Consider the following 13310-nt stretch of genomic DNA (forward strand, 5'->3'; position numbering starts at 1 on the left):
TCCATAGTCCGTTACTGATGGTTACTTAAACAAATTATTTAATTACCATAAATTGGTAGTACTTCCTAATAATTTCTCCAAGATTCAAAATTATTTCTGTGAATTCTGTATTTTAAATCTGTAAAATATTTATAGCAATCAGCTCTAGTGAATACACTAAATGTTTGAGTATATATTTTAAAATACCTTTCTAGTACTATGAAGACTAAATTTTTTTTTTCAGGCAGGCTCTGTCTTTATAAATGTTAGATGATGAAAAAGGACATAAGTCCAAGTTAAATAGTCATTGAACAAGTCTGCACTGTAAAACTTCATTAGATTGAAACAAATTCAGAATGTGTTTAAAAAAATCACTTACTATGTAGGAATTATGCATGCCATATTTTAAATTTTGCTTTATAAAGTCATTTCTAAATTTAAAAATAAATCTATGTAAGAAAACTATAAATCTTCAAAGGAAAAAAATGTAGTATGTTTTCAACTTATTAAAAAAGTTGTAGCTGAATTTTTCTTTTCCTTTATCTGTATAATCATGACTTTCAAATGTAGAACTATTTTAGTTGTTATTTATTATAAGCATCTGTTTTATTAGTAACAGTTAAACATTTTGACTAATATATGTTCTGCAATGAAAGTTTATAGCTGTAAAAATGTTTCACAATTTTCAATTGGTCAAAATATTTTCATGCACCCACTGAAATTGATCAAATTTGAAATAGTATTATCTGGATTATTATTAAAATCACAGATAACAATAATATATTAAATTTATATTAATAGTTTTAGTTTGAACATATTTTCTCCCATCCAAGTATTAACTAGGCCCGACCCTGCTTAGCTTCCGAGATCAGATGACATCTAGTGCATTTCAGGGTGGTATGGCCATAGACTGAACAGATTTTCTCACACAATTCTCAAACTTTCCTTTCCATAGTCCTTTTGATCCCATTACGGTGAACAGCTCTCTATTAGTTCCGCAATATAATAGGCTAAGCAAGACCAAAAGAAAAATTTTCTCTTGAAGTTTGTATTTTATTTAAAAATTTATGCAACATTTGGCTTCTACTATCAATTATGCCCATATCCGCTTTAATATAAATTTAGCATGCGACTTCATTACAATCATTCATTTGCATATATCTTCAGCTCCCTTGCCTCTCTTTAATTCTTTGTCCTCCCCTGGAAAATTCCAACCCTGATTAAATCTAATTCTCTTCTCACTTCTGGCGTGCTCTTCTGCAGCTAAAAATAGCTGGAGGATTAAAAAAAAAGAAGAAGAAAAACTCATACCCATGCTGACTGATTAAATTTTAAATTTACAACTCCTAATCTCAGTTGGGTTATCTCTTCTACATAGCTATCCATTCAGTCTTCCACTATCCTAAAGAATGATTTTACACATTCTTCTCTTTCATTATACTTCCAACTCATCTCAGTAGTTGCAGTGCCAAAAGTCCTGTGGTAATCAGACCACCTAAGGCTGGTTGTACTGATTGCCTTATCCTATTGTGCCAGCACAACCCTAGTCCATATGGTAATGTAGAATAAAATTTTAAAAAAGATGCCACTGTCTCAAGACACTTTAATAATATCTGCCCAAATTTTACTGTTATAACTGTACAAATCTAGGATGAATGTGAGGTGAATGTGTTCTCTAGAGTTGTGCAAAACATAAGTTGCACAATCACAAGTAGCATCTTGAACCTAGCCAATCTGATGTGATGATTTTTTCATGCGAACCAAAATATGAAAAGAAAATGGAAATATTACTACCAGAAAAATCTTAACCATTTCTAAATAATGGAAAGAAGGAAAGCAAGCCAATCAGCTCACTGGACATAAAAGGGAAGAAGGGAAGGAGTAAAATTATTCTAATTATCTTCTCTTAATTGAGAGTGGTGTTTAGGACTATAACATTGTAGTAGGAAAAACAATGCATCTCGAAGATGAAACGACTGATACTATCTTTAAAAATATAGTAGAATGCTATGTGTTCCATTAAAATAAAGAAAGCAAAAGCAGTCATTAGCAAGAAAAAGTGTCAGAGAACTTCAAAAAAGCAAATGAAAGAAAGAACAAACCAATTAGATCCAGCCATCAAAAATGGGGAATTGAAAAAAACGAATCGATAATCTAAATTTGTTTACAAATACAGAGGCTATCAAATTGAATTAAAAACTAAAACCTATACAAATGCTGTTTATCATAAGGACACTTAGAAAACAAATCAGTAAAGTGAGATCTATTGAGAGATAACTGCAAAAATAACTCCAGTTTTCCAACCATGTTATTTCTATACCCTTTTCCTATGTAACTCCTCTGAACTAGATGTGGAGTCTATCACCTCACTCCTTCATTCTGAGCTGTTTCTGGGACTCAGAATCAAGGGGAGAGCTGTTCCTGGGACTTGCTCTGGCCAAATGAATTTGATAAAATCGACAATCTTGCATGTTTCTGACCTATATTGAAACCTTACCACCATCATGGAAAAGCCTATGCTAGCTTGCTGGAGGGTAAAAATCCACACGGAATGAAAGTCCAGTTTTCCCATCTGAGACCATCCTAGATAAGCCTATAGCCAATTCCCAAATATTTCAGAAAACTGGTCATAGATCAGCAGAACCACCTACTGAGACTGCAGTTTACAACAGATCCATGAGTAGAACAGCCAAAGTAAGACAACAACCAGCTGCCTCTTTAAGAATATACAGTCGTTATTTTAAGCCACTAATTTTGGGGATAGATTGGATTATTTTGTATCAATGGCTAATTGGTACATATTGAAAATAAAGAAAAGCAAAAAGATAAAACACAGGTACTATCTAAAAATAACAGAATGGCAATATTAATATCAGACATGGTGATATTTAAGTTTGAAAATAATAAATAGGAGATAGTGAACTAATGATGAAGACACAATTTAAGAAGCTCTAGTGTTAGTGAAAAATATAGAGATTTGAAAGGCCACTTTCTCTAATGTTGTCAATAAAATTGGAATTATTTTTTAATTACCAAAATATTCCGTAAAATTAATGAACAGCTCCCGGATAATACTTAGGTAAAAGATACACACAAAAAATAAAAATTCTAAACTATCTAGTAAGAAATGAAAGGAGAATTATTTGCAAGAAATCTAAAGAATAAGCAAGACCTGTATTTAGAGGATAAAAGTATAATTTTAATTGTCATGCTTATCAAAAAAGAACAAAATAATAAATTCAGTGTCCTTCTCAGGGAATGAAGTTTTTCTTTTCACTAAATAAACCAAAGAAAATCATAAAAATGAATTAATAAAATACAAAAGCTAATTAAATATAAAAAAGAAATAAGACATGTATGAGAATATAATATTGACAGAGCTAATTCAATACATTAGGAAAAACATGAAAGAATTTGAACAGTACTGTGACAATAGACTTCCATCTGGAAGAAAAAATAAAATAATTCAATAAAGAAATAATTTCAATTGAATTAATGAAAAGTAGAGAAGAAATGAAAATCTTGCAAATAAAATAGAAAAGTTGCATGTATAAACAATATGATATTTTGCTCAGTCAAGACTGAAAACAAAGAAGCCACAAATAATAGACACTATGACATAACAATTTTAAAACTTTACATCATTAAAGATACCAAAACTTCAGTGAAAATAAAATGAGTCTAAAAAATTTGCAATTCAGATGATAAATGAAGGAGTTAATATCTATTTGGAACTAAGTGATCTGAAATAAAATCATCTAGGAAAAAACAATGAACAAAAGATATTAACAGAAGTTTTTTAGCAGAGTAAATTTAAATGGCCAAGAGAAATATGAAGAAATACTAAAATTCAGTAGCAGGCATGCAAAAGAAAATTAACAATGAGAAATTATTTTACTCCCATTAGACTGGCAAAATATTTGAAAATTGTTTTAAAATGTATTGTTGACAGGTATGTGGTGAAAGGGATTCCCTCATACATTGATGGTAGAAAAGTGAATTGTTTACCACTTGGGGGAAGCAGACTTTTAGCCCCTTGAGTTAAAACCTGATACATTAGTCAATCTAGCAATTCTATTTCAGGAAATATACCCCATACAAATAAAAATACATATAAAGATATAGGTAGAAATAGATCTATTGTTTGTGGGGGAAGAAACCTTGTGGGGGCAAATGTTTGTGGAGGCAAAACCCAGGAAGCAAATAAATGGCCATTACTTTCTGAATAAAATATGGCACAGACACCTATGAACTATTATGGAGCTATTAAGCATGATTAGAGCTACAGAAGAATATTAGTTCTTATTTCCGTTACGTAGTTTTGAAGAAGAAAAAACAAAATTCAGAAAGGATAAATTATATGATTAAAATTGGGTAAATGAAACCTAATTTTAAAAACCATATTTATATGTTTGAAAATACAGGCTCATATACTATTATGAGTTCTAAGGAGTGTGCATAAGGAGAATACAGACTGTTTGTAAGGACAGAGAAAAGAGAAATACATGGAGAGATGGAAAAGCTCAAGGCTCCTCCAACTCCAGAAGCCTTCTTCATATCCTAACTTAATATAAATAGCACCCTTGGGTTTATAAATAGCACAGTTTGCACAGTTGTACATGGCAGCTATGCATTGATCGAAGTTCTGTTTAGAGTAAAACTAGGAACCTGATCTGAGTTTAACAATAACAGATGCTGAGGTCATCCAGTTGTCTGCCATGTTCTTATGGACCTAATGTTTGTGTTCCCCTAAGATGCCCTAACCTCAGAACTGATGGTATTTGAAGATGGGGCCCTTGGGAGGTAATTAGGTCAAGAGAGTGGAGCCCTCCCGATGGGATCATTGCACTTATAAGAAGAAACTCTGGAGACCTAGCTTATTTTCTCTGCCATGTGAGGACAGACCAAGAAAGTGGCTGTCTGCTAGCCAGGAAGAGAGATGTTGTTACCAGAACATAACCATTCTGGCACCCTGATCTCAGACTTACAACCTCCAGAAATGTGAATAAAATTCTACTGTTACATCACCTAGTCAATGGTGTTTTGTTGTGGCAGCCTGGGCAGACTAATACATACGAGCTAAAAGTAGAAGGTGGTAAAAAGCATATCATATTTTCTTGTAAATTTCTGCTTTAGAATATAACCATCATTTCTTGTAATGCTTTGTGGGAAAATCAGCTCATAATTTTAATTTGACACCTCCATCAAGGAGCTCATAAAGAGTTCAGGAGGAGCAACATGCAGACACCAATTAACTGTGACATAATATGATGAATAATGAAGTTCTAATACTCTACTATGGAAGGAGGGAAGAAACAATAGTTTTGAGTTGGGATTTAGAAAATATTTCAAAGAAGAGACACATTATTAATAGATCTTGAAATATGAATTTTTCCCCCAAAAGGAGAGAAGTAAGACATTAGAGATAAAGAGGAATGTATAAATAAATGTACACAGATTGGGAATTTGTTTACTTTAAGAAAGATAGATAGCTTTGATTGAACTAGATTATAGGTATATGGCTTAAAGTGGCCTAGATGAAGTTGGAATGCTCACTGGGAAAGATATTTTTCTTAATTTGTGCTCCCAGAATCAGACGATGAGACAATAATTTGAATACAAGTAGTTACTTGGAAGGGGTGGGCACCAGTAGAGGAGTGGAGAAGTGATCAAATAAGAGAATGCAGCCAATGGGTTTGCATTATCAAGCTAATTACCACGGCAAGAGTGACTGGGTGTCTGGAGCTTAATCTCATGAGAAACATAAGAAATGGTGTAAAACACTCACTAGGATTGTCCTTCCCAAAGTGTGCATGAGATTTGAGGTATGATCTTATCAGCTCCCAAGTGGCATTATTTGAGAGCGGTTCCTGGAGAGTGTTAATTCTCCAGCTATACGCATCTTCCTATATGAATCTTCCTATATGCAACTTCCTATATGCATCTGCAAATTGCAGAGAAATCAATATTATCAGGAAGAGTATCCTGAAATAGTTAAAATCAGATTAATATGGCAAAGGACTTACAGCATTTGATACAATCTTGCGTATTATGCAAAAGAGTTGGAACTTTATATGTTAAAAGGAATGAGTAAGGTTTTTCTGAGTAAAGGAAAGTGCATGATGATCACAGGTGTCTTGTAAATTAATTATAACAACAGCATGGAAGTTCAATTGTATTACGTGGAGAGTGAAGCGTGATGGTGAAAGTTTAGGTGAAAGATGAACTAGTGCTCCAACAATGGCAATAGGAAATAGGAAGGATAGATGTATATTAGTGACATCACTTTAATTTTTAATTAAAGTACAGACTTGGAAATTCAGTAAATATGTTAATCTAGGGATAGAGAATACTTGAAAAGATCAGTAAAATATATATTTGAATGGCTGGTTAAATGGTGATAGCATTTAACCAGCTAGGGAATTTGGGAAAAAAGACTGGTTAGGAGTGAAAATTTTAAGTGTGGCTTGTGCTGTATTTACTGACTCAGAACTCACTTTGGAATATTCTGGTAGAGATGCTTAGTAGATAATTACGTTGCAACTGGGGCTCAGAAAATAAGTAGGACTTCTAGAAAGAGGAGATGTATGAAGTCCTAGTGTTGTATGAGTGAGTATGTGGCTGCCTCTCCACTTTCATGTACTTTGAATAAAAAAATCTTGATTCTAATTTCCAACAAATTAAAACTCTTGTGAAAGGAAGAAAACAAGACCTGAAGTAACAAAATTTGGATATGAGTTTAGATTTGCCATCAATTAGTTTTAAGGTTGAAATGAAGGGACTTCAAAAGGAAAACACTATAATAATAAGGGCATGTACTACAAGTTTCTTACAGGAGATGGGTTGCTGGAGAAGGGGGATAGATGTGACTCTGTTTGTGTTACATTTGGTAAAACAGGTTCTCTAAAGATATAGGGAGAAAAAAGTGCTCTTTCCTACACTACTCTCCACTCAACACAACACTTCTGACATTAGATGTTGGGGAGTTTCCCCATGCACTAACCATGCAATTCTCCAGCTGGCCCCAGCTGGGTGCCCTCTTATTCAATTCAATTCTGATACTGTCTACCTGGAGACAGCATCAGTGCCACAGGTTGAAGGCTCAGTCCCACAAGACTGCTCTCCACTTCAGATGCCACTTGAGAGTAGTTGATTGTCACTTATACAGTACTTCTGACCTCCCTGGCTATAAACTGGGCGCTCCCATAAACCTCTTCTCAGGTTTATTAATTTGCTAGAGCATCTTACAGAGCTTAAGGAAACACTTTACTTACGTTACTCAATTCTTATAAAGAGTACTCCAAAAGATACAGTTGAACAGTCATATGGAAGAGATGCATAGGGCAAGGTATGGGAGAAGGGGCACGGAGCTTCCATGCCGTCCCCAGGCATGTCACTCTCCAGGAATCTTCACATTCGTCAGCTATCTAGAAGCTCTCTGAAACCAATTCTTTTGGGGTTTTGTGGAAGCTTCATTACATAGGTATGATTAATTAAATCATTCGCCAGTGGTGAGCACCTCAACATTCAGCCTCTCTCCCTACCTGGAGGTTGGGGTGGCTTTGGTCCAATCATGCCAACATTAAGTTGATTGGCTTCGGTCCAATCAATAATGCCAAAATACAAAACAAAACAAAAAAAAAAAACATGCTTTGGTCTTTTTGGTGACCAGCCCTTATCCTAAAGCTATCAAGGGGCCCCAGCCAGCAGTCATCTCATTAGCATATAAATGTGCAAAATACACTAATCATTAGGGATTCCAATGATTTTAGGAGCTTTATGTCAGGAACCTGGGACAAAGACCAAATGTATATTTCCTAATCTCACATAGGTCATGTGGTTAAATAAACAAACAAATATGTAAAGTATAACTTTGGCAAACTTACATAAGTGGGGAAAATAAATTCTTAATGGCAAGGCTTGATCTCATGACTTTGCCTAAATTGTTTAAATTCCAAATGTATATTGCAAAAATTAATAGAATATCAGATAACTTTTAAATTACATCTTCAAAATTTAGCAAATTTTGGTGATAGAAAGCTATATTCTACCTTATGGTGTAGTGTGTATGCATTTTTGAGTGATATGGATTAGGTCTGTATGTTTTATTTCTCAAAAGGAAATTATCCCTAAGAAATGCAGAGACGGTTTGCAGGAATTTGACATAGATTGAGATTCCTGTGTACTACAAATGAAAGAGTTCAGAGCTTTCAAATTGCACTATGTAAACCGAAGAGGCTGGTTAAATAACAGATCCATCCTTCTTTCTCTTTTCAAATAAATTGAATACAAACAAAATGCTGACTTAGTAAAACTGTTGAAAAAGCTTGTTTCCTGAAGAAACATAAAATTTAATTATTATTATGTGAAACAGAGAAAATGTGACTAGTAATGTTTTACATGAGTGAACAGGATGGTAATTTTGAGACACAGTAGTAAATATCCAGAAATCAAAAAAAAATAGGTAGCAATGCTATGATGGGTGACTTCCCATTAGAACTAATTGTCTATGTCTATTTGATATGTAATAAGACAGGCAAAGGAGATGCAGAAATTCATTTATAAGTGGTCGTCTTACAACTGTAGACAAAAGATTTACTGAGAAAACGTATGCATTAAAAATGTAAGTTCCAAGGCCTCTTTTTGTATTAACTGGTATTCATCTCCTCTGAGATCTAATCTGCTCAACAGACTTCAACCACGTTCTTACATGGCAACAATAAAGAACTGCAATTAAAAGCATTTTAAATTTGACTTAGCAAACTGTTTAAAGCTTTTTCAGAGGAAATAATGTGTGTCCTTTACAACAGTCCATTCTTCATTATCTCCTAAATTAGCTGCATAATATGTGAGCAAATTTCCATGCCTAGTTAGAGCTCATTATTCAGTGAAGTCTCTGGGAATTAGGATTTTTTTAATCAATTTTTTTTGCCTTTGCCCTTTAAGCATGTTTCCAATTTAAACAGCCCTAAAGAACACTGATATCATAGTACCCATTAATTTCTTCTTGTTTTTGATGAAATGGCAAGAAGCATTGATTTTTTGCATTGACGATTTATGTGTGTATATGTTTTGAAATATATTTATTATTGTAAAAAATGCATAACTTGGCAATTGTAAATGTGTAAATATAACGTGGAGATTATGAGTCAGAGAAGATTAAATGTAGAATAAATAGCCAACAGGATAAAAAGAAAAAAAAGGCTGCATAGAATGAAGTCTTAAATTGCCAATCTATTACTTGAATATATGAAGTTTCTTTCTTTGGGGTGATCATTTTCTAGATTTGATTTAAAGACGTTCTAATCATTGTTTGCTGCTGCTACTGCTGCTGCTTCAGCTGTTTGCAACCTCAATATGTGTCCATGTCAAATCGTAATGTGGTACAGTCAAATTCATAAGTGGGAGCCTTTTCTTTTCTTTACTTTTGTGTCCAGGATTTCCAGATGCAAACCTAAGAATTAAGGAATTCACAAAGAACATATCTGTTTGATCTAAATCCTAATATCTGCATGTGATTTTGTGTTTCCTACTTATTTGCAAGGTGATTTGTAGCAGGTCAACAGACAAAATTAAAATAATTGTGTTTAAGGAAAATGGCTCTTTTAATCAGATCCAACTGGGATAATGAGGTATTTTTTATCAGAAAAACAATATATGGAAAAAAGGAGAATACAACAAAATTGTTTTAAATATGTGTATGAATAACCATTATTATTATTAAGGACAGTGAGGAAAAAATCTAAGATTAGAATTGGCTTAGATTAAAATCCAGCTGTTGGCATTTACCAATTTGCAGCACTTAATCTCAAGAAATTTCAATCATATTATTAAGAAAAGTGGTAATATCACCTAAATCACAAAATTAATGAAGAATTTAAAGTAACTATAGTATTTGAGAGGTGTCAATGTATTTACTACATTTCACTTAAATTCTTCAATTTAGTATTCAAATTTATTAATCAACTCTTGTTATACTGATAAAATTCAAAAGGCAATAAACTGAAAAAACTGCTATGCCTCTGAAGGTGTAGTATCACATGAACATGTAACATTTGCTATTGTCAGGGTACAAGTTTCGGTTTTTAAATCCAACCTCTAAGTATTTATTGATTCATTAAAAGAAATAAACTGATCATTGGGGTATGCTACAACCATATGGCAATAGATACTTTAATATCATTACCAAAATGCAAGAATCTGGTGTTAAGATTATTATGGTGGGTCTCTAATTTCTTTGCTTTTAAAATCATGAGAAACTAATGATGAAAAATCAATGCAATGGAATTAAAAAGAGGTCAAACATGTGCTGGCCTCTATTGCTTTCCATCGTGCTGAATGCCATCTCTCTCTCTCTGCTATTTCAAGAAACAAAGCTGCCCATGGCTACTTTTTTTTTCAATTGGAGGTTTGTTCAGCTATATTTCTCTTCTGAATTTTGAGAAGCATTGTTCCTCAAATTGCCTTTTCTTTTCTAATCACTACATTAGTAGCAAGCAATGGTTGCCTTAGCAACTCTTTAATAGGCTGCAACTCTCAAAACTTGCTTTTTCTGGAGAGAGTCTTCAGACAGGCTTTCTAATGGAACCAATAGCTCTTTTTAATAAATATGCAAAAACATCATTTCTGACTAGAAAACTAATCTTGTAGCTTAAATATTTAAAATATTTTATTGCACATTTGAGAGTTAGCTACAAATATTTATCAAAATCTTAGTTTTTATTTTACAAAGTAATAGGTGATAATGGTAACGTCTCTAATTTGTTAATTATTGTATTATCTAATTTTTTTCTACCTAAGAGGTATGTATATGCAGCATTACTTTTTATGTTTATCAGATGAGAAAACTAAATTTTACAGTAGTTATTTTGGTATCATGCTGGTAAGTATTTAACAACCAGCAAACAGCCCTCTGAAAAAAAAAGTATGTATTTATAAAATTTTATTTTAATATATTACTGAAATAAAGTATGTATTGCACACATAATATAAAAATAATAATTACCTTTGTTTAGCACTGGATATTTTATTTTATGTTTATGTAACTTAATTTTTAATAAAGGCTGTATTTCATGATTGGCTTGCAATTTTCCTGAAAATTAAAAAATAGACACTTGCAATCTAGTACTAGTTATCTCCAGCTTACCATTAGGTTAGTTACTACCTCGAAGTCACACTGCTACTAAGGACTGGAATATGTAGCAGTAACAGTAATATTTAAGAAAGATACTTTAAAAAATGTGGCTACAGAGATGTCTCGGAAGTTCAAAGAAAGAGTTCCCTGTTGGCACAAGCTACTCACATTTAACTCAAACTTCTTCGGTGTATTTCTCTGCACTTGTGATTTCCCTGGTAATATACTGCTCCAGGACCCAGCACTTACTGCAACTATAATTTTCTGGCACAAAAATATTCTTAACTCATTCATTCTTAACTCATGACCTACTGCCCACTTCCACAGTTGGCCTGAGAATTTGCCTCCTCAGTTTCGACCCTGTCAACTACCTTTCTTTGGAGACCTCTTCTCAGTTTGACCTGTTCTTCTGGCTTTGTTGTGCTGTTTCCAACACAGTTTTGTTTTTCAGCTGCTAGATTTCCACATGCCTTTACAGAAAACAGGTGCCCTTTGAGACAGCACTGACAAAATGAAGTTAGAGCATGGAACTGTTTGGGCCTGAGGACTAACCCCAAAGTACCAGTGGCACACTGACCAACAGCCTCAGCAGTGTTTGCTGCTGGCAAAGCTGTGAAGAAGGTGAAACTTATGTTTCACACTTCTTCATCCTCTTTTTATTACTCTCCTTTTATGTATTCTTAAGTCACCTGACTCCTCTTTTTCATTTAATTTCCTCACTCTTTACTACCCTTCCCTATAAGTAGATCCTCAAGGCCCAGCTCAAATGAACATATTCCATTAAACTTTCTCCTTTAGCCACCATCTGAGTTAGTATCAAACAACTACGTCTCTTCCCTCCCACAACATTTTGCTCATTCCTACACTATAATCAACAGTAATACCTTTCAAGAAAAATGTACGGATTAATCCTTATGTGCTAAGCACCAAGATGTGTGCTAACAATACAGAGCTAAATATAACCAGAAAGTACACCTTGATGTAAAGGATAATTTTTGGAAATGCAAGGTACTGGGGACAAAGGAAATTGTTTTGAAAGGGGAGTGAATACGTTTCTTTTTGCTGATCCTCAAATCTCACATTGTGGCCACCTAGTCTTATTCTGCTTAGGATCAATCTTAACATCAGCTAAAATAGAATAGAACCTTAATTTCGTCATTGAAAGAGAAAAGGCAAGTGCTTTTTTTATCCACTTTACTTCATTTATTAATGCATCAATGGTATTATTGCCAAGTACTAAAAGCAGAGTTGGGGTAGGAGACCCTATTTGGATTGAAAGTATCCTAAAGGGAATCATGTTTTAATTTAACAAATATTTACGGAACATTTACTCTGTGACAGGTACTAGGCTAGAGATTTTCAAAATGACATTTAATCCTTCCCACAACCTTCTCTTTTATGGGTGAGAGAACTTATCTTATAAATGAATCCCGCAGCTCCTTAGAGCTTGACCATGACAATTGGGAAAATAACACAAATACCAGGGTCCTGTCTATATAAGAGATGACAGAGTATAATGTCATTAATTCATTGTTATCTTAGCCAAACATAGAAAGCCATGCATATTCACTAATAATAGCATACTGTCTCTGAGGAATAATTCCATGGTTGATTCTACAGGGACAGCATGTGTTTGTTGTTGTTAATGTTGCTTTCTAAAAAGATGATAAGTATTTTCCTTTTATTGTTGTTTTTGTTCAATTGTTTTGTATTTATAGAAAGAGAAGCACTATGGGCATGGGCTGATGCAGGTGAAGTCCAAATAATTGTCTTGAAACTTGCATGGCATTCCAATTCAATCTTAAATGCTCATGAAATTTAAAGCAGAAGGATCTAGCGTGAGGCAATACTTAGGCTTTAGCCCTCTCTAGTTTTGTAATTGTTTGCTTTTCCTTGCTCTATGAATACTTTATGACTCAGGATATCAAAAATGCACCAACAGTTGCAGTAGATAAAAGACTCTCCACCATGTGCAATCCATGGGGAGAACGCCATTGGAGACCAAAGGAGCACTCTGACCTTTTCCAGAATATTCACTCCTTGCAGGAAGTAAGGATTTCATAGTAGTGGTTTCAGTATCATCACAAAGCACCTCTTCTCTTAAATATCTGGCCCTCTCAAGGTTAAACTTTTGATCCAATTATCAAATATCTATCTAAAATATTTCGCTTTTTACTTTGTATTTGGCTGTGAATTT

General features: G+C 33.7%; 1 pseudogene; it reads right to left on the minus strand.

The window, feature by feature from the left end:
- On the minus strand, positions 800 to 890 carry RNA5SP50 (RNA, 5S ribosomal pseudogene 50; annotated as a pseudogene).

Source organism: Homo sapiens, chromosome 1 (genome assembly GCF_000001405.40).
Source record: "Homo sapiens chromosome 1, GRCh38.p14 Primary Assembly".
NCBI lineage: Eukaryota > Metazoa > Chordata > Mammalia > Primates > Hominidae > Homo > Homo sapiens.